This window comes from Homo sapiens, chromosome 1 (assembly GCF_000001405.40).
Source record: "Homo sapiens chromosome 1, GRCh38.p14 Primary Assembly".
NCBI classification, from domain to species: domain Eukaryota; kingdom Metazoa; phylum Chordata; class Mammalia; order Primates; family Hominidae; genus Homo; species Homo sapiens.
Window position 1 is genome coordinate 145280524 of NC_000001.11, and position 24374 is coordinate 145304897.

The following is a 24374-nucleotide window of genomic DNA, read 5'->3' on the forward strand; positions in this document are numbered from 1 at the left end:
TACATCACAAAGATAAACAGGTTTGAAAGGAACCGGTTTTCCTTGTAATCCTAAACGTTCAAGTCTGCGCATTAAAAGACATTATCTGAAGAAGGGTGCACAAGCTTCCTGTTGGCCGCCAGAAGGGTTCTCTGCAGGACACAGATCAAGTACCACAGTCTTAGGGGGAGACCAGACGCGGGATCTCTGCACACCTCCCCAAAGGACAATGGCAGGAGGAAAAGGAGAAAGAGACAGACGTCACTTCCTCCGCCAGCTCCGGCAGCGGGTTGATCGGCTGAGTCGGCGGAGGGTGGGGCGGAAGAGCAGACGGGGACTGGGAAAGGCGCTGTCGGTGACATCACGGATAGGGCGATTTCTATGTAGATGAGGCAGCGCAGGGGCTGCTGCTTCGCCACTAAGGAGTTCCCGTGCCGTGGGAGCGGGTTCAGGACCGCTGGTCGGACCTGAGAGTCCCAGCTGTGTGTCAGGGCTAGGAGGGCTGTGGGCGGTGGGGGGGTGGGGTGGGGGGGGGGGCGTTCGCGGGGCAAGTGACCGTGCGTGTAAAGGGTGAAGCGTGTGAGGCTGTGGCGGGGCGGAGGTGCAAAAGCTCATACTTACCTGGAAGGGGAGATACCATGATCACGAAGGTGGTTTTTCTCAGGGCGAAGCTTATCCATTGCGTTCCGGATGTGCTGACCCCTGCGATTTCCCCAAGTGTGGGAAACTCGAGTGCATAATTTGTGATAGTAGGGAACTACGTTCGCGCTTTCTCTTGGTGCTTCTGTGGTGCGAATAGTAGGTGAGCCGTAAGTGTTTTTGTAATTCAGGGTGCGGGCTCGTGTTTTGTGGCTGTGTTCTGTCCGGTCAGTTGTTTCCGTTCGCAACGGTTAGTTTTCCTTTGTGAGGCCATGTTTGGGGACAGCTTAGAACTATCCACTTGCTCTCTTGGGAGGCGAATTTCAGTCTCTGTTGGTTGGGTTGTTCTCCCAGGTTAGCTGCCGCGGTACTTGCTAGGTGGAGCTCAGGGATCAAGGGTCGGGAGCTTTCTGGTTTGTTCAGTGCTCCCAGGGCTTCTAACATCTCTTAAAAACTCTGGTGTTTTCTGTCATCCTCGGAGTTACCTCTTAGCCTCTGTTTTTTTGTTGTTGTTTTTTCCCCCCCTCCCTAAGACAAGTCTCGCTGTACCGTCCAGGCTGGAGAAGTGGCGCGATCTTCCCATCTCAGGCTCCCGAGTAGGACAACCGCACGCCACCACACCCGGCTAGTTTTTTCTCTTTTTTTTTTTTTCTTTTCTTTTCTTTCTCTTTCTTTTTCTTTTTTCGTAGCGGTTTCACCATTCTGCTCAGGCTGGGCTCCAACTCCTGGGCTCAAGTGGTCCGCCCAGCCTTCTGAAGTGCTGGGATTACAGGTGCGATCCATCTTGCCCTGGCAGCTCCTGCTTTTCACCACAGCATTCACGGGAGTTTGTAGGATTTCTGTGCTGGGGAAACGTGTACTCAGTTAATAGAGCCAGGTGGAAGTTGTACTCAGAACTGGTGGTTTTCTTTGGAATGAAAACCGTGCATGTTGGGGGCTCTTAGTGTCCCCGTTCGGTTGTAGGCATAACACCCTTGCTTTGTGTAGGGGGAGGGCTTTGCCCATGCCCTGGTGCCCCGGCGCAGGGCATCGAGGTCTGCAGTTCAGAACCGCAGTCTAACCTATGTCTTGGCGGAATACCCTGCTAAGTCTCCCTGGAATGTAAGATGGGAGGTCTTGTGAGGAGGTTTCTACAAGTAAGAAAACAAATTTCCATTCGGTTTTTATTGACAAAATTGAAAATTATAATAACTGAGTCCAGCCTCTCAGATGACAAATGTCTTTTGCACTGAGAGCTGGGAACCGCCGCTTGCCTCAGCTCCTGCGTGCAGGTGCAGCCCTCGCTTCCCTCCACACTTTCTCCAGCGGGTGTCAGTTCCTCCACCAGAGGCAGACAGCGTTCTGCAGAACCACAGCGCTCAAGGCCTTCGAGAGCCAAAAATCTCGGAGCGAGCTGCCCTGTCCTGGCTGTACCTCACGACTGACCTAGAAATGGCCTTTGCTGGGAGCAAAGGGTAGGGGGGAGATGGTCGTCGGAGCTGGGGCCTGTGCACTGGACCAGGTTGACCCACGGGAGGGGAGGTACCCAGAGTTAGAAGGGGGCCAAGCACTGAGACCTCACCATCCTCAATCTCCAAAAGGACTCAGAGAGATGCAGAGACTGAGACAAGCTTCCTTTTTCAAGGAAAGAGAAAACTACTGAGGAAGGCCCCAGGGGCTCTGAACCAAAATCCAGACTTTTTTTTCCACCTGCAGCTTTTTGTTTTTATTTTTGCTTGAGAAGGTGTCTCGGTCTGTTGCCTGGGCTGGAGGGCAGTGGCGCAATTTCGGCTCATTAAAACCTCCATCTCCCGGGTTCAAGCAATTCTCCTGCCTCGGCCTCCCTAGTAGCTGGGACTACAGGTGCCCGCCATGACGCCCGGCTAATTTTTGTATTTTTATTAGAGACGAGGTTTCACCATGTTGGTCAGGCTGGTCTCAAACTCCTGATCTCAAGTGATCCACCCACCTCAGCCTCCCAGAGTGCTGGGATTACAGGTGTGAGCTACCGCGCCCAGCCCGCACCTGCAGCTTAATCCCATTTCGCTGGTGCAACTTCATCCTTCCGTATGCTCAGGCCAATAAACAGTACTGTAGGCTGGTCGTTCTTTGACCCCCATACATCCTATTGGTCGGAAAATTATGTTTTCTCTTTGGTTAACCGCAGACTTTGATATGCACACTCTTTCTTGGTCTGAAACCCACCCAATAGTCCCATACGTAGATTTTTGGATAAACATAGAAATGGACCCTTCTGATCTGAAAGTTTGAAACTCGATATTTGTTTTATTTGAGTTCCTTCCTTCAGGCCTCTCAAAAAAGATATCAAAGAACTGAAAGTCACCCAGACAATGAGATGCCGGACCCCTCATTCATCCTGATTGCTTCCTTGCCCCTCCCTAGTTCCTGTTTTCTTTCTTTTCTTTTTTCTTTTTTTTTCTTTTTTCTTTTTGAGACAGAGTCTCCCTCTGCCTCCCAGGCTGGAGTGCAGTGGCGCTATCTTGGCTCACTGCAAGCTCCGCCTCCCGGGTTCACGCCATTCTCCTGCCTCAGCCTCCCGAGTAGCTGGGACTACAGGCGCCCGCCACCACTCCCGGCTAATTTCTTTTCGTATTTCTAGTAGAGACGGGGTTTCACCGTGTTAGCCAGGATGGTCTCGATCTCCTGACCTCGTGATTCGCCCGCCTCGGCCTCCCAAAGTGCTGGGATTACAGGCGTGAGCCACCGCGCCTGGTCTAGTTCCTGTTTTCTTACACATTGTCACATTCTTTCCCTGCCATCTAAGCCTCTAGTTTTGGTTGGTCAGGGAGATGGATTTGAGACTGAGTTCTCATCTCCTCCGCTGCAGCACCCTATTAAAGCCTCTTCCTTGGCAATAACCGTCTCAGTGATTGGTTTTCTGTGTGGCAAGCAGCGGGAACCCCAGGTCTCTGAACTTTGACAAAGGAATCTCCTGATAAAGGCGGGATCGATTTTACTGACCAAGCTGAAAACGATCAGACGTTTGAAAGCCTTAATCTCGGAGCCTGTCGGAGTTTGGTCTGCCCTTGAGGCTTTTCTTTGGGCCTACCAGTCAAAATCAGCCTGGCCAAACCTGTCTTCAAGGACCAGGGGCAGGGCCGGCTTCTCCCGCCGGGTCGGCAGCCACCTTCCCCTTCCCTGTGACTTGAAGAGAAGCTTCAGGGGGCGTTTATTCAATTTGCGAGGAGCCTGCGAGGCGCAGGTGCGCGGTGACTCTGTGGTTCCCACCGCACCCGCTGCCCTCTTTGGTCCTCTCGCTGTCACCGGCGGGCAGTAACGTTCCGGGTGAGCTAGGGCTCCGAAGACACCAGGCAGGGAGGGACCAGTGGGTAAGGGCACCGCCCGTTTAGGTCCTGCGCAGGAGGGATCCGAAAAAGGTCTTGAAGAAATAGAAAGGGAGGGCCAGATGCGGTGGCTCACGCCTGTAATCCCAGCACTTTGGGAGGCCGAGGTGGGTGGATCACGAGGTCACGAGTTCGAGACCAGCCTGGCCAAGATGGTGAAACCCTGTCTCTACTAAAAATACAACAAGTAGCCGGGCACGGTGACGGGCGCCTGTAATCCCAGCTACTCAGGAGGCTGAGGCAGGAGAATCTCTAGAACCCAGGAGGCGGAGGTGCAGTGAGCTGAGACTGCCCCGCTGCACTCTAGCCTGGGCAACACAGCAAGACTCTGTCTCAAATAAATAAATAAATAAATAAATAAATAGAAAGGGAGAGTTGGAAGTAGATCAAAGAGAAGAAAAGAAATCCTAGATTTCCTATCTGAAGGCACCATGAAGATGAAGGCCACCTCTTCTGGGCCAGGTCCTCCCGTTGCAGGTGAACCGAGTTCTGGCCTCCATTGGAGACCAAAGGAGATGACTTTGGCCTGGCTCCTAGTGAGGAAGCCATGCCTAGTCCTGTTCTGTTTGGGCTTGATCCTGTAGCACTTGATTGTCTCTCCTGGACTTTCCATGGATTCCAGGGATGCAACTGAGAAGTTTATTTTTAATGCACTTACTTGAAGTAAGAGTTATTTTAAAACATTTTAGCAAAGGAAATGAATTCTGACAGGTTTTGCACTGAAGACATTCACATGTGAGGAAAACAGGAAAACCACTATGCTAGAAAAAGCAAATGCTGTTGAGATTGTCTCACAAACACAAATTGCGTGCCAGCAGGTAGGTTTGAGCCTCAGGTTGGGCACATTTTACTTTAAGCGCACTGTTGGTGGAACTTAAGGTGACTGTAGGACTTATATATACATACATACATATAATATATATACATATTTATGTGTATACACACACACACACACACACACAGGGTCTTGCTATCTTGCCCAGGGTGGTCTCCAACTCTGGGTCTCAAGCGATCCTCTGCCTCCCCTTCCCAAAGTGCTGGGATTACAGGTGTGAGCCACCTCGCCCAGGCCATTTTAATTTTAATTTAATACTTTTAATTTGAATACACAATCCAAAAATCATATAACAAGTACAGGAAACCCACTTTATGCCAAGTTTACAAAAACAGGAAAGATATGTCAATGACAAAGCGTCAAAGTGGCAACATCCTAAAGTACTGAGAGAAAAAAAGTTATTCTAGAATTCTATGCCAAATTGAAATATCTTTCAAAAATGTGACTGAAATCAGGACATTTAAAGACATACAAAAAAATGACAGAATTCACCGAACCACACTACAAGAAATATTAAAGGAGTCCTCCAGGCCTAAGGATAAGGATACCAAACAGAAATCTGAACCTACACAAAGAAATGGAGACGACTGAAAATCGCTATGTACGTACTTGGATGTTGGGGTTTATAACATGTCCAAAATCAAATTCCCTGACAACACTAGCATAAAGGCCAGAAGGGGAGGTATAATGTCACTTGATGGCAGACGGATAAAGATGTATTCTAGGGACCCTAAAGCCATCACTGACATAACAAAAGAAAGAGTTACAGCTAATAAGCCAAATAAGGAAAGAAAATAGAATGATATATAAAAAAAAAACATGTAATCGCTGGGTGCGGTGGCTCATGCCTGTAATCCCAGCACTTTGAGAGGCCAAGGCAGGCAGATCACTTGAGGTCAGGAGTTTGAGACCTGCCTGGCCAAAATGGTGAAACCCCGTCTCTACTAAAAATACAAAAATTAGCCCGATGTGGTGGCTCGCGCGGACCTGTAATCTCAGCTACTTGGGAGGCTGAAGCAGGAGATTCGCTTGAACCCGGGAGGCGGAGGTTGCAGTGAGAGCTGAGATGGCGCCACTGCACTCCAGCCTGGGTGACAGAGCGAGACTCTGTCTCAAAAATAAATAAATAAATAAATAAATAAACAAACAAACAAAAACTGTGTAATCCCTATGCTGGAGCAACTGCTCTCCAGGCCTCTACCCTATAGAAATACACAAATGGCCAATGAGAAGTGTACAAGAATGATCACTGCCGAATTATTTGCAATCATAAAATAGTAGCGCCAAAGTAATTTCAAAGATACATGAAAATCGTTTTATTTATTTAACAAACACAAACAATTGAACAAACAATGGAAGCAAGTCCTTTTGCCTAAAGAAACACAGAGGGTCATGCGGATGTTGCTCCTCCAAGGATTTCGGTGTTCCCCAACGGCTAGTTTTGGGTCTAGTTCTTCTGGAAGATCTTATTCTTGGGGAGCTACAGGTTCTGGCGTTTGGGGCTCTTTCAGGTTCTATCTCCATTTTCCCCTCAATTCCTCCCCATTCTGCTATAATAAAAAAAAATTCTCACCTCCGGAAGATCCCGCCTGTGCCTCCCCGCCAGCCTTTCAGGAGGTCTGGACGTCTGGTCCACCGCTCCCCGGCTTCTTTCCCCGCTTTTGCTTTTCCCCTCCCCTGCTCCCGCCCTCCGGCCTCAGGACCCGACCACCGCCCAGCTGAGCCCCCGCGGCTCCACGGCGCAGAAGGTGCACTGGAGGCCCTGCCCGTTGCCGCCCCGCGGGGTGTCAAGAAGTCAACGTAAATAAATGCTTTGTAAAAGGAACTTCCCCATGGAAAAATCTCTCATGATTTCCATTCTCAAGGCTCTTCAAAGGACTAAAAGCTAAAAGGATGGATTCATTCGACAAGTCCTAGTCCTGCGCCCTGGTGAGTGCCAGACCCTGCTCCCCGTGAGGGGGACCCACGAGCCACCCTCACCACGATCCCTGCCCTGGTGGAGCCCCCGTGCGGAACACAGGATCCGAAGATGGCAGCGGAAGCTCCGCAGCGGCCCCAAAAGCGACTGGGCAGGGAGGGCACAGGCTCCCTCACTGGGTGAAGGCGGCGCAAAGAATGGGAAGAGCCATCCCGGGAGCCACCGGGCGTTCAGCCTCCCTAGGGCCCCCAGGCGGCTCGGGCCGGGGTCTCAACCGGGGCGTTTCCGGGGGTTTCTGAAGCAGGCGAGGGGCAGGGCGGGCGAAGGCCATTCGGCTATCCTTCTGGCTCCAGAATCTCCCAACGCGCAGGTGTCCAACGTGACCAGCGCGACTTACCGCTCCAATCTCTCCAGTTTTCCAAGGCCTTGCTCAGTCCTCCTGCCGGGCGGGCCCTGAGGATGCAAGGGACGGAGGAAGTTTCGTGCGTGCGCCCTTCCTATAGCGCCCAGTAGAACTAACAGTACCTGTCTCTGTGGCGCAATCGGTTAGCGCGTTCGGCTGTTAACCGAAAGGTTGGTGGTTCGAGCCCACCCAGGGACGCCTCTTTGAGCTTTTAAAGTATTCATGCATTGTCAATCACTAGATAAATGGGGAAGATTTTATCTTCCTGGAGTCCTAAGCCACTAATTTGTGACTTATCCATGTCAAGGGCCAGCCCACCTCCCCAACCGGATTCTTAACCGGGTATCTCCTGAAATCCTGGGTTTATACGTGTGTAACTCAGGAATCCTGAAACAGAGACCTAGGAACCCACTTCTGGTGTGATAAAATTCTAATTCAGTCCGTTATACGCTTAAATGAGTAATTTACATGCCTCCATTTTTTCATATGTTAATAATAGGAGGTCAGTAATATCCCGAGGATGTGCCTGGATTTACTGATTGCTCTATCAATAATGTGACCAGTGGAATCATTCATCATCATAGTGATCCTCTCCATCATTTTTGAAGAGTATTTTTCCTCAGTTTGTGCATGATTTATTTAACCCTTTTCAAAATGTTTTTGTTAGCCAGGCATGGTGGCATGTGCCTGTAATCCCAGGTACTTGGGATTCTGAGGCAGGAGAATCATTTGAACCTGGGAGGTGGAGGCTGCAGTGGAGGCTGCACCAATGGAGGCTGCACTGCTACACTCCCGCCTGGGCAACAGAGCGAGACTCCATCTCAAAAAAAAAATAAAAATAAAAAAATAAAGTTTTTGAGATGAGGTAGGTTTCATTGTTTTAGGATTACAAAGAATGCTGCAGCCACCTTTCTTGTACACATATCTGGTCATTGTGGAAATGTCTACACCGCAGATATTTCTATAGTGTAGGGAAGTTGATGCACTATTGCTACATTATAGGCTTTACATGATGCTTCTAATTTGAGTACATTCTGCAAATGTATCTTTCACGGGAGCCGTACCAAATAATATTCCAATAGCAATATTTATAGGAGGAAAAATGTGCAGAAGTGCAATTGAGCTTCGTGCCTCTCCATGGGGTCCATGTTCATAAAATGGTGGCATTAGCAATCATCTGAGAGTGGAGTTTGTGGCCCTCTGACATCAAAAGCTGAAGCAGAGGACATGAAAACCCTCACTGTGCATCCTCTCTAGTCTGGCCAGAATCATTCCTAGGTCGGTGGTCTCTTATCAGGAGGGAATGCTGCTTGCTTGTTTTGTCAAAATCACAAAACTGAGGGAAAGCATCAGGCCGTTGGTTGGTAACAGTGGTGAAGCAAGTCTTTCCAAAGGGCTGGTTTGTTGTTAACCCTTAGGGAAAAAAAAAAGCCTTTTTTTTTTTTTTTTTTTTTTTTTTGAGACAGAGTCTCTCTCTGTCGCCCAGGCTGGAGTGCAGTGGCGTGATCTCGGCTCACTGCAAGCTCCGCCTCCCGGGTTCAGGCCATTCTCCTGCCTCAGCCTCCCGAGTAGCTGGGACTACAGGCGCCTGCCACCACGCCCGGCTAATTTTTTTTATTTTTAGTAGAGATGGGGTTCTACCGTGTTAGCCAGGATGGTCTCGATTTCCTGACCTCGTGATCCGCCCGCCTTGGCCTCGCAAAGTGCTGGGATTACAGGCATAAGCCACCGCGCCCGGCCAAAAAAGCCTAATTCTTACCAGCTGGTGCCGTGCAGTTCCAGGCTCTTGGTGTCCCAAACAAAGACACCAAGAGCCTGGAACTGCACCAAAAACCAAAACCAAGGTAGGGGCAAGATGATAATCACAGAATGTCACCGGTATATGTTTAGGTTCAAATACTATTATGAGAAGTGGCAGGTAAAGGAGGTAGGAAAAAGAAAACACATCATGTAATTGACTGTTGTATGGAAATATTTGATGCTGAAAGTTATAATTTAAAACTATAAACCAAATATTAGAAGTGTGTCTAGTTAAAAGGGAGGAAAACCATCAAAAACATTTTTAGTGCAATATTTAACATGAGCTATACAACCCTTCCTAAATGCCAAAGGCACACACAGACACACACGCAGACACACAGACACACACACACTCACACTCACGAAGAATACAAATGACTAGAACCAAGAAATGTAAATACATTCTGCTACATATGGTAAACATAGCCTACAATGTGGAAGAGATTAGAAAATAAACATGGAAATGAAATGTTTTTATTAATTCGCATCAGTACCCACCAAAACCAATCAGCATAATCAAATATTATAACACTGAATGTAAAAAACAATCCAGAAGTCCAGAGTGATAGGCAAAAGGTTTTAATTGTATAGATTAAAATTAACTTTGGACAAAAATTAAAACTCAGGCAGAGAATGTCTTCTTCTTTTTGCAACAGCAGACACTAGTAAAAACAAAGGCACAGTAAAAATTGAGACCCAAAATTTGCAGTGTAGAGATATGAATATAATAATAGACACAGGCAGGGAGGATTAATAAATGATAAAATGTTTAGAGGATGATCATTAGAATACAGGATATTTATACTCTTGAAAACCGCTTTCCCAAGTACTTCTTCATTATAAGTAAGGTGTCTCTAAAAGGGACAGATCTCCTAGACCCCTCCTTAACCAAGTAACCAGTCCTGATATCATAATGGTGATGGACAAACTAGACCTTCTCTGCCCGCAGATGGGCTGAGGTTGGAAACTCACAGCATTGTCTCTGCAGTGTTCCCGGCAAAACGTTTAGGCTGAATTTAATCATGAAGACATTTTCAGACAACTTCAGAATGTAGATCATTGAGCCAGACAGCTGACCTGTCCTCTATAAACAAGTCCATGTCACCACCATCCATGACAACAACAAAAAGATGAGGAAATATTTGGGGTTCAAAATAACTAAAGAAATGCAGCTACATTATCTTTTTACGTTTTTTGAACCCAAAATATCTCTTCTCCTTTTTGTTGTGTGATTTGTGGTGATATGGACTATGTGAAGGAGACAGGTCAGTTGTCCTGCTCAGTGTTCTACATTCTGCAGTTGTCTGGTGATTACCTCCTATGAAACTCAGGCTAAGCGTTTTCTGCAAGAACATGGCATTGTTCATATTCTGCACCGGCAGAGTCCTGGGTGACATGCTGTCTCCTGCCAGCGGCTCCTGACTCCTGTTCTCTACAGGATGGAATTGAGAAGAGCAGGGCTAAGGCCTCCCAATGCTGTTTGTCCATCTAGCTGTGGTCTTCCTAAGTACTGACACCAATTGGAGGCTGAAGGACTGTGGCTTCTCTAACCAAAGGAGCCTAGCGGGTTAACAATTGTCAAGAGCAGTTGGTGGTTCTGAAATACAATCCTCAACCAAGGATCCCTCCTGTGTTACAGATGGATCAGCTAAAACAAGCCAACACTGAAGACACAAAGAATGAGGTTAGGTTCATTGAAACCAGGGTAACACCTTTGGATGAGCTAAACACAAAGATGACAATGACCTTGAGCAGGTATAGAAGCTCAGAGACATGCCTGCAAAATGAAATCCCTGAGGAATTTTGTAGCTACCCAGAGATACGTGGTTCAAATTAAAATGTCTGACTGATCACTCCCGGCATGTGCTGCACAGTTATGTGAACGTGTCACACCTAACGTGGGTCCATTGTCTTCAGACTGAGCACAGGTTGCCACTGGCATGGTTTGAGAATAGGAATACAGCCATGCCCACTGACCCATCCTATGTCTGGGCTTCCAAATGGAACTGTACTTTCATTCAAATCTTCACGTGCCTATAGGTCCTGCCTGCAGGAATGACATCTCTCGGCTTAGTAAGGGCTGTTTATTGTGGGAATATGACTCCCATCTGGAACACCAGGTGGAGACTTGTCACCGTCAAAGTAAAAAACCTATTGTCCACGTAAAGGGCGAAGCTGATGTGCTGTTCCTCAAATGAGTAAAACACACTTCTGTAGTGCTGGAATGAGTCAGGTAGTTCAAAGTACATTGACGGAGTAGAATAACATCCATCCAGTGAGTCCTGTAAGACTTCAGGCTCTTCCACTTCCATCAGCACGCCGTTGAGCCTGGAAAAGGAGACAAAACTAAAGAAGCAGCCAGGGAAAATCAGAAACCACAGAGCCCCACTAGATTTCAGAAGTCACATAAGGAAGTGGTTAGAAAAGAAAAAGGATAGATCCATTAATGAGGTAAAAAAAAAATTTATTGCCTATATGTTGGGATAGAACAGGGCCAGGTAGAAAACAATGAAAGAGAAAGACAGAGAGAGAGAGACAGAGACAGAGAGAGAGAGAAAGTGACCTAGTGAATTGCCCAGGTGACATACTGGTAAGGGAGTCAAAGGACACTCTGAGTTAGTGTCCTCATGACACACAGCAAACTGTGATCATGAAAAGAGTGAGCTCAATAGTTTTCCATAAAATATGCTCAAAATTCGATGCAGTGGCCATGAGAGTACAGCTTTTGAAGTATGGTCAACCTATGGCACGTTAGTAAAAGATAAGGGGAGGAAGAAATGGAAACCTAAACATCTACTGCAATGAAAACCAACAGCAATGACAGTAGGAGTAATTCAGCCTTCGTTGAAAACATGACATCAAACACACTCTGGTTTCCCTGAATCTGTTGCCTCCAGGTGTTAACACAGAATTAAGCATCCACAATTGCTGAAAGTCACCTGGGGCATGGTGGGTTTTGATCTTCTTCCCCTTCTTTTCTTCCCCTTCTTCTTTTCTTCTTTGATCTTCTTCCCCTTCTTTTCTTCCCCTTCCCCTTCTTTTCAATTTCTGCAATAAATTCAGACATGGACAGACACATTAAGCTGATTCCCCTACACACATAACAATCCACTGTCTAATCCTCACACAGGGACCTCAGGCTCCCCAGCATAAGAATAGGACACTTTGAGAGATATATTTCAGGAGGCCTGAAGGCTGTTCATGATAGAACTTCCTCGGTTTTTCTCCCAGAAACTGTGGGTAAAATGTCCCTATTCTAGTAGATCGTTATCCCAATATCATTTGTCCCAAGTTTGTGCAAACAGTTATGCCATATTTTTCCAATCAACTTAAAGCAAATACCCTCAAATGATTTCTAGGAGAAAAACTGCAATATTTAGCCCTGTCTCATCAAATACTCAGATTGTTCATGGTTGTGAGGACTTTAGACACTGAAATTAGAGTGAAAAAGGAAATCTACAAACCCTTGAGTCAAAATCATAGTTCTCTGAATTTGTCACATCTGCCCAGGTCCAATGTCATGAGGATAGGATCAGGGCGCCACAGGTATGGCCTGAGACTAGGAAGAGAGTCTTGCTCACTGACCCATCCCTTGCCTGGGCTTCCAGGTAGAACTAGAGTTTCATTCAACCTACATGTGCCTATAGGTCCTCCCTGTGGCAATGACATCTCTCAGCTCAGTAATGGCCACTTGGAGCAGGAATATGATCTTTATATGGAAGACTCAGTGGATCCTTATCACCTTCATAGAAAGGTACTCACCTCCCACGTCAAGAGAAAAGCCAACATGTTTTTCCTCCAATGCATAAAAGGAACTTCCATAGGGCTGGCAGGAGTCAGGCTGTTCAAGACAACTGGAAGGAGTTGAATAACATCTATCCAGTGAGTCCTGCAAGACTTCAGGCTCTACTACCTCCAGCAGCTCCCTGCTGAGCCTGGAAAAGGAGGAAAAAGTAAAGAATAAGCCAGGGGAAATCAGACACAACAGAGCCCCAACTAGGTTTCATGGGTAGCATAGGGAAGTGGTTAAAAAACTAAAAGGATAGATCCATTAATGAGGTAACAAATTATTGCCTTCATGTTGGGACAGAACAGGGCCAAATGGAAAAGAATGAAAGAGAAAGACAGATAGACACACACACACACACACACACACACACACACACAGACACACACACACACACACAGAGAACGAGCTCAGTGAATTGTCCAGGTGACACACTGATGAGGGAGTAACAGGACACTCTGAGTTAGTGCCCTCAGGACACACAGCATACAGGGATCATGAAAAGACTGTGCTCAATAATTTTCCATAAAATGTGCTCAAGTTTCCATGCAGTCGCCATGAGAATACAGTTTTTGAAGTCTGGTCCACCTACAGTAGGTTAGTAAATGATAAGGGGAGGAAGAAATGGAAACCTAAATATCTACTGCAATGAAAACCAACAGCAATGTTAGTAGGAATAATTCAGGCTTGCTGGAAAAGATGTAATCGATAATGTCAGCCCGCTCTGTTTTCCCTGAACCAGGAGTCTCCAGATGTCAACACAGAAGTAGCTGTTCACAATTGCTCAGTTACCTGGGGCATGGTGGGCCTTGGTCTTCTTCCTCTTCTTGGTCCTTTTTAGTTCCTGCAATACATTCAGACAGGGACAGACAAAATAAGCCAATTCACCTACACCCATAACAGTCCACTGTCTAATCCCCACACAGGGATCTCAGGCTCCTCAGCATGAGAACAGGACAATGTGAGAGAGATACTTCAGGAGGCCTGAAAGCTGGTCATGATATTCTTTGGTTTGCATCTCAGAACCAAGGGTGAAATATCCCCATTCTGGTAGATCGTTATCCCAAAATCATTTATCCCAAGTTTGTGCAAACAGTTATGCCTTATTGTTCCCATCAGTTCAAAGAAAATGCCCCAGATGATTTCTAGGAGGAAAACTGCAGTATTCAGCCCTGTCTCATCAAATGCCCAGCTCGTTCATGGATGCAAGAATTTTAGACACTGAAATTAGAATGAAGGAGGAAATCTACAAACCCTTCAGTCCAAATCATACTTCTGTGAATTTTTTACATCTGCCTGGGTCCAATGTGCTGAGAGCGGGCTCAGCTTGCCACAGGCATGGCTGGAGACTAGGAATAGAGCCTTGCTCACTGACCCATTTCATGTCTAGGCTTCCAACTGAGACTACAGTTTCATTACAACCTATATGCGCCCATAGGTCCTGCCTGCGGCAATGACATCTCTCGGGTCAGTAAGGGCCACTTGGAACAGGAATATCACCCCTATCTGGAAGACCAGGTGGAGGCTTATCACCTTCACAGTAAGGTACTCACTGTCCACGTCAAGAGCCAAGCCAAGGTACTGTTCCTCCAATGAGTAAACAGCACTGCTGTAGGGCTGGCCTAAGTCAGGCAGTTCAAGATAACCTGAAGGAGTCGAATAACATCTATCCAGTGAGTCCTGCAAGACTTCAGGCTCTTTCTCATCCAGCAGCTCCCTGCTGAGCCTGGAAAAGTAGGAAAAAGTAAAGAATAAGCCAGGGGGAATCAGAAACCACACAGCCCCAGCTAGATTTCATGGCTAACATAAGGAACTGTTTAAAAAGAAAAAGGACAGATCCATTAATGAGGTAATGAATTATTGCCTTTATGTTGGGATAGACCAGGGCCAGGTAGAAAAGAATGAAAGAGAAAGACAGGGAGAGGGAGGGAGAGAGAGAGAGAGAGAGAGAGAGAGGAGAAAGTAAGCTCAGCGAGTTGGCCGGGTGACACACTGATGAAGGGGTCAAAGGACACTCTGAGTTAGTGCCCTCGGGACACACAGCGAACAGTGATCATGAAAAGAGTGGGCTCAATAATTTTCCATAAACTTGCTCAAGATTCCATGCAGTTGCCATACAGCCTTTGAGGTATGGTCAACCTATAGTAAGTTAGTAAATGATAAGGGGAGGAAGAAATGGAAACCTAAACATCTACTGCAATGAAAACCAACAGCAATATCAGGAGGAGTAATTCAACCTTCGTTGAAAACATGAAATTGAACACACTCTTGTTTTCCCTGGACCTGGCATCTCCAGGTGTCAACACAGAATTAAGCATCCATAATTGCTCAAAGTTACCTGGGGCATGATGGGTCTTGGTCTTCTTCCACTTCTTGGTACTTTTCAATTTCTGCAATAAGTTCAGACATGGACAGACATATTAAGCTGGTTCTCCTACACACATAACAATCCACTGTCTAATCCTCACACAGGGACTTCAGGCTCCTCAGCATGAGAATAGGACACTGTGAGAGATAGTCTTCAGGAGGCCTGAAGGCTGATCACCATAGAGATTCCTTGGTTTTTGTCCCAGAAACTGTGGGTAAAATTCCCTATTCTGGTAGATCGTTATCCCAATATCATTTGTCCCAAGTTTGTGCAAATGGTTATGCCATATTTTTCCAATCGATTTAAAGCAAATGCCCCCAAATGGTTGCTAGGAGAAAAACTGCACTATTCAGCCCTGTCTCATCAAATACTCAGATTGTTCACGGTATCGAGGATTTTAGACGCTGAAATTAGAGTGAAGGATGAAATCTACAAGATCTACAAAATTGAGACAAAATCAGAGTTGTGTGAATTTGTCACATCTGCCCAGGTCCAACATCATGAGAGTAGGATTAGGGCGCCACAGGCATGGCCTGAGACTAGGAAGAGAGCCTTGCTCACTGACCCATCCCTTGTCTGGGCTTCCAAGTGGAACTAGAGTTTCATTCAACCTACATGTGCCTATAGGACCTCCCTGTGGCAATGACATCTCTCAGCTCAGTAAGGGCCACTTGCAGTAGGAATATGACCCTAACCAGAAGACTCAGTGGATCCTTATCACCTTCATAGAAAGGTACTCACCATCCATGTCAACAGCCAAGCCAACACGCTGTTGCTCCAATACGTAAAAGGCACTTCTGTAGGGCTGGCATGAGTCAGTCAGTTCAAGACAACCTGAAGGAGTTGAATAACATCTATCCAGTGAGTCCTGCAAGACTTCAGGCCCTTTCTCATCCAGCAGCTCCCTGCTGAGCCTGGAAAAGTGGGAAAAAGTAAAGAATAAGCCAGGGGGAATCAGAAACCACACAGCCCCAGCTAGATTTCATGGCTAACGTAAGGAAGAGTTTGAAAAGAAAAAGGACAGATCCATTAATGAGGTAACAAATTATTGCCTTTATGTTGGGATAGAACAGGGCCAGGTAGAAAACAATGAAAGAGAAAGACAGAGAGAGAGAGAGAGACAGAGACAGAGAGAGAGACAGAGACAGAGACAGAGAGAAAGTGACCTAGTGAATTGGCCAGGTGACATACTGGTAAGGGAGTAAAAGGACACTCTGAGTTAGTGCCCTCATGACACACAGCAAACTGTGATCATGAAAAGAGTGAGCTCAATAGTTTTCCATAAAATATGCTCAAAATTCGATGCAGTGGCCATGAGAGTACAGCTTTTGAAGTATGGTCAACCTATGGTACGTTAGGAAATGATAAGGGGAGGAAGAAATGGAAACCTAAACATCTACTGCAATGAAAACCAACAGCAATGACAGTAGGAGTAATTCAGCCTTCGTTGAAAACATGACATCAAACACACTCTGGTTTCCCTGAATCTGTTGCCTCCAGGTGTTAACACAGAATTAAGCATCCACAATTGCTGAAAGTCACCTGGGGCATGGTGGGTTTTGATCTTCTTCCCCTTCTTTTCTTCCCCTTCTTCTTTCCTTCTTTGATCTTCTTCCCCTTCTTTTCTTCCCCTTCCCCTTCTTTTCAATTTCTGCAATAAATTCAGACATGGACAGACACATTAAGCTGATTCCCCTACACACATAACAATCCACTGTCTAATCCTCACACAGGGACCTCAGGCTCCTCAGCATAAGAATAGGACACCGTGAGAGATATATTTCAGGAGGCCTGAAGGCTGGTCATGATAGAAATTCCTCGGTTTTTCTCCCAGAAACTGTGGGTAAAATGTCCCTATTCTAGTAGATCGTTATCCCAATATCATTTGTCCCAAGTTTGTGCAAACAGTTATGCCATATTTTTCCAATCAACTTAAAGCAAATACCCTCAAATGATTTCTAGGAGAAAAACTGCAATATTTAGCCCTGTCTCATCAAATACTCAGATTGTTCATGGTTGTGAGGACTTTAGACACTGAAATTAGAGTGAAAAAGGAAATCTACAAACCCTTGAGTCAAAATCATAGTTCTCTGAATTTGTCACATCTGCCCAGGTCCAATGTCATGAGGATAGGATCAGGGCGCCACAGGTACGGCCTGAGACTAGGAAGAGAGTCTTGCTCACTGACCCATCCCTTGCCTGGGCTTCCAGGTAGAACTAGAGTTTCATTCAACCTACATGTGCCTATAGGTCCTCCCTGTGGCAATGACATCTCTCAGCTCAGTAATGGCCACTTGGAGCAGGAATATGATCTTTATATGGAAGACTCAGTGGATCCTTATCACCTTCATAGAAAGGTACTCACCTCCCACGTCGAGAGAAAAGCCAACATGTTTTTCCTCCAATGCATAAAAGGAACTTCCATAGGGCTGGCAGGAGTCAGGCTGTTCAAGACAACTGGAAGGAGTTGAATAACATCTATCCAGTGAGTCCTGCAAGACTTCAGGCTCTACTACCTCCAGCAGCTCCCTGCTGAGCCTGGAAAAGGAGGAAAAAGTAAAGAATAAGCCAGGGGAAATCAGACACAACAGAGCCCCAACTAGGTTTCATGGGTAGCATAGGGAAGTGGTTAAAAAACTAAAAGGATAGATCCATTAATGAGGTAACAAATTATTGCCTTCATGTTGGGACAGAACAGGGCCAAATGGAAAAGAATGAAAGAGAAAGACAGATAGACACACACACACACACACACACACAGACACACACACACAGACACACACACACACACAGAGAGAGAGAACGAGCTCAGTGAATTGTCCAGGTGACACACTGATGAGGGAGTAACAGGACACTCTGAGTTAGTGCCCTCAGGACACACAGCATACAGGGATCATGAAAAGACTGTGCTCAATAATTTTCCATAAAATGTGCTCAAGTTTCCATGCAGTCGCCATGAGAATACAGTTTTTGAAGTCTGGTCCACCTACAGTAGGTTAGTAAATGATAAGGGGAGGAAGAAATGGAAACCTAAATATCTACTGCAATGAAAACCAACAGCAATGTTAGTAGGAATAATTCAGGCTTGCTGGAAAAGATGTAATCGATAATGTCAGCCCGCTCTGTTTTCCCTGAACCAGGAGTCTCCAGATGTCAACACAGAAGTAGCTGTTCACAATTGCTCAGTTACCTGGGGCATGGTGGGCCTTGGTCTTCTTCCTCTTCTTGGTCCTTTTTAGTTCCTGCAATACATTCAGACAGGGACAGACAAAATAAGCCAATTCACCTACACCCATAACAGTCCACTGTCTAATCCCCACACAGGGATCTCAGGCTCCTCAGCATGAGAACAGGACAATGTGAGAGAGATACTTCAGGAGGCCTGAAAGCTGGTCATGATATTCTTTGGTTTGCATCTCAGAACCAAGGGTGAAATATCCCCATTCTGGTAGATCGTTATCCCAAAATCATTTATCCCAAGTTTGTGCAAACAGTTATGCCTTATTGTTCCCATCAGTTCAAAGAAAATGCCCCAGATGATTTCTAGGAGGAAAACTGCAGTATTCAGCCCTGTCTCATCAAATGCCCAGCTCGTTCATGGATGCAAGAATTTTAGACACTGAAATTAGAATGAAGGAGGAAATCTACAAACCCTTGAGTCCAAATCATACTTCTGTGAATTTTTTACATCTGCCTGGGTCCAATGTGCTGAGAGCGGGCTCAGCTTGCCACAGGCATGGCTGGAGACTAGGAATAGAGCCTTGCTCACTGACCCATTTCATGTCTAGGCTTCCAACTGAGACTACAGTTTCATTACAACCTATATGCGCCCATAGGTCCTGCCTGCGGCAATGACATCTCTCGGGTCAGTAAGGGCCACTTGGAACAGGAATATCACCCCTATCTGGAAGACCAGGTGGAGGCTTATCACCTTCACAGTAAGGTACTCACTGTCCACGTCAAGAGCCAAGCCAAGGTACTGTTCCTCCAATGAGTAAACAGCACTGCTGTAGGGCTGGCCTAAGTCAGGCAGTTCAAGATAACCTGAAGGAGTCGAATAACATCTATCCAGTGAGTCCTGCAAGACTTCAGGCTCTTTCTCATCCAGCAGCTCCCTGCTGAGCCTGGAAAAGTAGGAAAAAGTAAAGAATAAGCCAGGGGGAATCAGAAACCACACAGCCCCAGCTAGATTTCATGGCTAACATAAGGAACTGTTTAAAAAGAAAAAGGACAGATCCATTAATGAGGTAATGAATTATTGCCTTTATGTTGGGATAGACCAGGGCCAGGTAGAAAAGAATGAAAGAGAAAGACAGGGAGAGGGAGGGAGAGAGAGAGAGAGAGAGAGAGGAGAAAGTAAGCTCAGCGAGTTGGCCGGGTGACACACTGATGAAGGGGTCAAAGGACACTCTGAGTTAGTGCCCTCGGGACACACAGCGAACAGTGATCATGAAAAGAGTGGGCTCAATAATTTTCCATAAACTTGCTCAAGATTCCATGCAGTTGCCATACAGCCTTTGAGGTATGGTCAACCTATAGTAAGTTAGTAAATGATAAGGGGAGGAAGAAATGGAAACCTAAACATCTACTGCAATGAAAACCAACAGCAATATCAGGAGGAGTAATTCAACCTTCGTTGAAAACATGAAATTGAACACACTCTTGTTTTCCCTGGACCTGGCATCTCCAGGTGTCAACACAGAATTAAGCATCCATAATTGCTCAAAGTTACCTGGGGCATGATGGGTCTTGGTCTTCTTCCACTTCTTGGTACTTTTCAATTTCTGCAATAAGTTCAGACATGGACAGACATATTAAGCTGGTTCTCCTACACACATAACAATCCACTGTCTAATCCTCACACAGGGACTTCAGGCTCCTCAGCATGAGAATAGGACACTGTGAGAGATAGTCTTCAGGAGGCCTGAAGGCTGATCACCATAGAGATTCCTTGGTTTTTGTCCCAGAAACTGTGGGTAAAATTCCCTATTCTGGTAGATCGTTATCCCAATATCATTTGTCCCAAGTTTGTGCAAATGGTTATGCCATATTTTTCCAATCGATTTAAAGCAAATGCCCCCAAATGGTTGCTAGGAGAAAAACTGCACTATTCAGCCCTGTCTCATCAAATACTCAGATTGTTCACGGTAGCGAGGATTTTAGACGCTGAAATTAGAGTGAAGGATGAAATCTACAAGATCTACAAAATTGAGACAAAATCAGAGTTGTGTGAATTTGTCACATCTGCCCAGGTCCAACGTCATGAGAGTAGGATTAGGGCGCCACAGGCATGGCCTGAGACTAGGAAGAGAGCCTTGCTCACTGACCCATCCCTTGTCTGGGCTTCCAAGTGGAACTAGAGTTTCATTCAACCTACATGTGCCTATAGGACCTCCCTGTGGCAATGACATCTCTCAGCTCAGTAAGGGCCACTTGCAGTAGGAATATGACCCTAACCAGAAGACTCAGTGGATCCTTATCACCTTCATAGAAAGGTACTCACCATCCATGTCAACAGCCAAGCCAACACGCTGTTGCTCCAATACGTAAAAGGCACTTCTGTAGGGCTGGCATGAGTCAGTCAGTTCAAGACAACCTGAAGGAGTTGAATAACTTCTATCCAGTGAGTCCTGCAAGACTTCAGGCCCTTTCTCATCCAGCAGCTCCCTGCTGAGCCTGGAAAAGTGGGAAAAAGTAAAGAATAAGCCAGGGGGAATCAGAAACCACACAGCCCCAGCTAGATTTCATGGCTAACGTAAGGAAGAGTTTGAAAAGAAAAAGGACAGATCCATTAATGAGGTAACAAATTATTGCCTTTATGTTGGGATAGAACAGGGCCAGGTAGAAAACAATGAAAGAGAAAGACAGAGAGAGAGAGAGAGACAGAGACAGAGAGAGAGACAGAGACAGAGACAGAGAGAAAGTGACCTAGTGAATTGGCCAGGTGACATACTGGTAAGGGAGTAAAAGGACACTCTGAGTTAGTGCCCTCATGACACACAGCAAACTGTGATCATGAAAAGAGTGAGCTCAATAGTTTTCCATAAAATATGCTCAAAATTCGATGCAGTGGCCATGAGAGTACAGCTTTTGAAGTATGGTCAACCTATGGTACGTTAGGAAATGATAAGGGGAGGAAGAAATGGAAACCTAAACATCTACTGCAATGAAAACCAACAGCAATGACAGTAGGAGTAATTCAGCCTTCGTTGAAAACATGACATCAAACACACTCTGGTTTCCCTGAATCTGTTGCCTCCAGGTGTTAACACAGAATTAAGCATCCACAATTGCTGAAAGTCACCTGGGGCATGGTGGGTTTTGATCTTCTTCCCCTTCTTTTCTTCCCCTTCTTCTTTCCTTCTTTGATCTTCTTCCCCTTCTTTTCTTCCCCTTCCCCTTCTTTTCAATTTCTGCAATAAATTCAGACATGGACAGACACATTAAGCTGATTCCCCTACACACATAACAATCCACTGTCTAATCCTCACACAGGGACCTCAGGCTCCTCAGCATAAGAATAGGACACCGTGAGAGATATATTTCAGGAGGCCTGAAGGCTGGTCATGATAGAAATTCCTCGGTTTTTCTCCCAGAAACTGTGGGTAAAATGTCCCTATTCTAGTAGATCGTTATCCCAATATCATTTGTCCCAAGTTTGTGCAAACAGTTATGCCATATTTTTCCAATCAACTTAAAGCAAATACCCTCAAATGATTTCTAGGAGAAAAACTGCAATATTTAGCCCTGTCTCATCAAATACTCAGATTGTTCATGGTTGTGAGGACTTTAGACACTGAAATTAGAGTGAAAAAGGAAATCTACAAACCCTTGAGTCAAAATCATAGTTCTCTGAATTTGTCACATCTGCCCAGGTCCAATGTCATGAGGATAGGATCAGGGCGCCACAGGTATGGCCTGAGACTAGGAAGAGAGTCTTGCTCACTGACCCATCCCTTGCCTGGGCTTCCAGGTAGAACTAGAGTTTCATTCAACCTACATGTGCCTATAGGTCCTCCCTGTGGCAATGACATCTCTCAGCTCAGTAATGGCCACTTGGAGCAGGAATATGATCTTTATATGGAAGACTCAGTGGATCCTTATCACCTTCATAGAAAGGTACTCACCTCCCACGTCAAGAGAAAAGCCAACATGTTTTTCCTCCAATGCATAAAAGGAACTTCCATAGGGCTGGCAGGAGTCAGGCTGTTCAAGACAACTGGAAGGAGTTGAATAACATCTATCCAGTGAGTCCTGCAAGACTTCAGGCTCTACTACCTCCAGCAGCTCCCTGCTGAGCCTGGAAAAGGAGGAAAAAGTAAAGAATAAGCCAGGGGAAATCAGACACAACAGAGCCCCAACTAGGTTTCATGGGTAGCATAGGGAAGTGGTTAAAAAACTAAAAGGATAGATCCATTAATGAGGTAACAAATTATTGCCTTCATGTTGGGACAGAACAGGGCCAAATGGAAAAGAATGAAAGAGAAAGACAGATAGACACACACACACACACACACACACACACACACACACACAGAGAGAGAGAGAACGAGCTCAGTGAATTGTCCAGGTGACACACTGATGAGGGAGTAACAGGACACTCTGAGTTAGTGCCCTCAGGACACACAGCATACAGGGATCATGAAAAGACTGTGCTCAATAATTTTCCATAAAATGTGCTCAAGTTTCCATGCAGTCGCCATGAGAATACAGTTTTTGAAGTCTGGTCCACCTACAGTAGGTTAGTAAATGATAAGGGGAGGAAGAAATGGAAACCTAAATATCTACTGCAATGAAAACCAACAGCAATGTTAGTAGGAATAATTCAGGCTTGCTGGAAAAGATGTAATCGATAATGTCAGCCCGCTCTGTTTTCCCTGAACCAGGAGTCTCCAGATGTCAACACAGAAGTAGCTGTTCACAATTGCTCAGTTACCTGGGGCATGGTGGGCCTTGGTCTTCTTCCTCTTCTTGGTCCTTTTTAGTTCCTGCAATACATTCAGACAGGGACAGACAAAATAAGCCAATTCACCTACACCCATAACAGTCCACTGTCTAATCCCCACACAGGGATCTCAGGCTCCTCAGCATGAGAACAGGACAATGTGAGAGAGATACTTCAGGAGGCCTGAAAGCTGGTCATGATATTCTTTGGTTTGCATCTCAGAACCAAGGGTGAAATATCCCCATTCTGGTAGATCGTTATCCCAAAATTATTTATCCCAAGTTTGTGCAAACAGTTATGCCTTATTGTTCCCATCAGTTCAAAGAAAATGCCCCAGATGATTTCTAGGAGGAAAACTGCAGTATTCAGCCCTGTCTCATCAAATGCCCAGCTCGTTCATGGATGCAAGAATTTTAGACACTGAAATTAGAATGAAGGAGGAAATCTACAAACCCTTCAGTCCAAATCATACTTCTGTGAATTTTTTACATCTGCCTGGGTCCAATGTGCTGAGAGCGGGCTCAGCTTGCCACAGGCATGGCTGGAGACTAGGAATAGAGCCTTGCTCACTGACCCATTTCATGTCTAGGCTTCCAACTGAGACTACAGTTTCATTACAACCTATATGCGCCCATAGGTCCTGCCTGCGGCAATGACATCTCTCGGGTCAGTAAGGGCCACTTGGAACAGGAATATCACCCCTATCTGGAAGACCAGGTGGAGGCTTATCACCTTCACAGTAAGGTACTCACTGTCCACGTCAAGAGCCAAGCCAAGGTACTGTTCCTCCAATGAGTAAACAGCACTGCTGTAGGGCTGGCCTAAGTCAGGCAGTTCAAGATAACCTGAAGGAGTCGAATAACATCTATCCAGTGAGTCCTGCAAGACTTCAGGCTCTTTCTCATCCAGCAGCTCCCTGCTGAGCCTGGAAAAGTAGGAAAAAGTAAAGAATAAGCCAGGGGGAATCAGAAACCACACAGCCCCAGCTAGATTTCATGGCTAACATAAGGAACTGTTTAAAAAGAAAAAGGACAGATCCATTAATGAGGTAATGAATTATTGCCTTTATGTTGGGATAGACCAGGGCCAGGTAGAAAAGAATGAAAGAGAAAGACAGGGAGAGGGAGGGAGAGAGAGAGAGAGAGAGGAGAAAGTGAGCTCAGCGAGTTGGCCGGGTGACACACTGATGAAGGGGTCAAAGGACACTCTGAGTTAGTGCCCTCGGGACACACAGCGAACAGTGATCATGAAAAGAGTGGGCTCAATAATTTTCCATAAACTTGCTCAAGATTCCATGCAGTTGCCATACAGCCTTTGAGGTATGGTCAACCTATAGTAAGTTAGTAAATGATAAGG

The 24374-nt window shown here is 45.9% G+C and overlaps 1 protein-coding gene, 2 non-coding genes and 1 pseudogene across 5 annotated transcripts in view, besides 5 other annotated features; 3 read left to right on the plus strand and 1 right to left on the minus strand.

The window, feature by feature from the left end:
• Positions 344 to 1068: an enhancer, noted in NCBI's record as "NANOG-H3K27ac hESC enhancer chr1:148241215-148241940 (GRCh37/hg19 assembly coordinates)". NCBI's record gives its function as "activates a minimal SCP1, AML or CMV promoter by ChIP-STARR-seq in naive H9 embryonic stem cells {active_cell/tissue: H9 hESC(naive)}" and the evidence as "EXISTENCE:reporter gene assay evidence [ECO:0000049][PMID:30033119]".
• Positions 344 to 1309: a biological region, named in NCBI's record as "NANOG-H3K27ac hESC enhancer GRCh37_chr1:148241215-148241940".
• Positions 513 to 802: a silencer, noted in NCBI's record as "silent region_1259". NCBI's record gives its function as "represses an Ori minimal core promoter by ATAC-STARR-seq in GM12878 lymphoblastoid cells {active_cell/tissue: GM12878}" and the evidence as "EXISTENCE:reporter gene assay evidence [ECO:0000049][PMID:35858748]".
• On the plus strand, positions 593 to 756 carry RNVU1-14 (RNA, variant U1 small nuclear 14). The gene has a single exon (NR_104075.1). It is a non-coding gene; the product is annotated as an RNA, variant U1 small nuclear 14 (small nuclear RNA).
• Positions 970 to 1309: a silencer, noted in NCBI's record as "fragment chr1:148241842-148242181 (GRCh37/hg19 assembly coordinates)". NCBI's record gives its function as "represses an EF-1alpha promoter that drives an FKBP-Casp9 reporter gene in an ReSE screen in K562 erythroleukemia cells {active_cell/tissue: K562}" and the evidence as "EXISTENCE:reporter gene assay evidence [ECO:0000049][PMID:32094911]".
• On the plus strand, positions 1828 to 7318 carry LOC101060170 (uncharacterized; annotated as a pseudogene).
• Positions 7161 to 7370: a silencer, noted in NCBI's record as "silent region_1260". NCBI's record gives its function as "represses an Ori minimal core promoter by ATAC-STARR-seq in GM12878 lymphoblastoid cells {active_cell/tissue: GM12878}" and the evidence as "EXISTENCE:reporter gene assay evidence [ECO:0000049][PMID:35858748]".
• On the plus strand, positions 7243 to 7316 carry TRN-GTT2-7 (tRNA-Asn (anticodon GTT) 2-7). The gene has a single exon. It is a non-coding gene; the product is annotated as a tRNA-Asn (tRNA).
• The window catches only part of NBPF20 (NBPF member 20), a 135704-nt gene continuing 120706 nt past the window's right edge, over positions 9377 to 24374 (minus strand). The window contains exons 127-143 of one of the 3 annotated variants that reach the window (NM_001397211.1): positions 23771 to 23943; positions 23010 to 23061; positions 22201 to 22373; positions 21378 to 21486; positions 20577 to 20749; positions 19806 to 19857; positions 19025 to 19197; positions 18264 to 18315; positions 17439 to 17611; positions 16616 to 16724; positions 15815 to 15987; positions 15044 to 15095; positions 14259 to 14431; positions 13498 to 13549; positions 12681 to 12853; positions 11858 to 11966; positions 9482 to 11246 (exon numbers count right to left, since the gene is read on the minus strand). In NM_001397211.1, coding sequence (NP_001384140.1) covers positions 11003 to 11246; positions 11858 to 11966; positions 12681 to 12853; positions 13498 to 13549; positions 14259 to 14431; positions 15044 to 15095; positions 15815 to 15987; positions 16616 to 16724; positions 17439 to 17611; positions 18264 to 18315; positions 19025 to 19197; positions 19806 to 19857; positions 20577 to 20749; positions 21378 to 21486; positions 22201 to 22373; positions 23010 to 23061; positions 23771 to 23943 — 2215 coding nt within the window. In that variant the 3' untranslated portion in view covers positions 9482 to 11002. Of the gene's footprint in view, positions 11247 to 11857; positions 11967 to 12680; positions 12854 to 13497; positions 13550 to 14258; positions 14432 to 15043; positions 15096 to 15814; positions 15988 to 16615; positions 16725 to 17438; positions 17612 to 18263; positions 18316 to 19024; positions 19198 to 19805; positions 19858 to 20576; positions 20750 to 21377; positions 21487 to 22200; positions 22374 to 23009; positions 23062 to 23770; positions 23944 to 24374 lie in introns of all 3 variants that reach the window. The other 2 variants (NM_001278267.1, XM_047446015.1) reach the window with 2 other exon arrangements.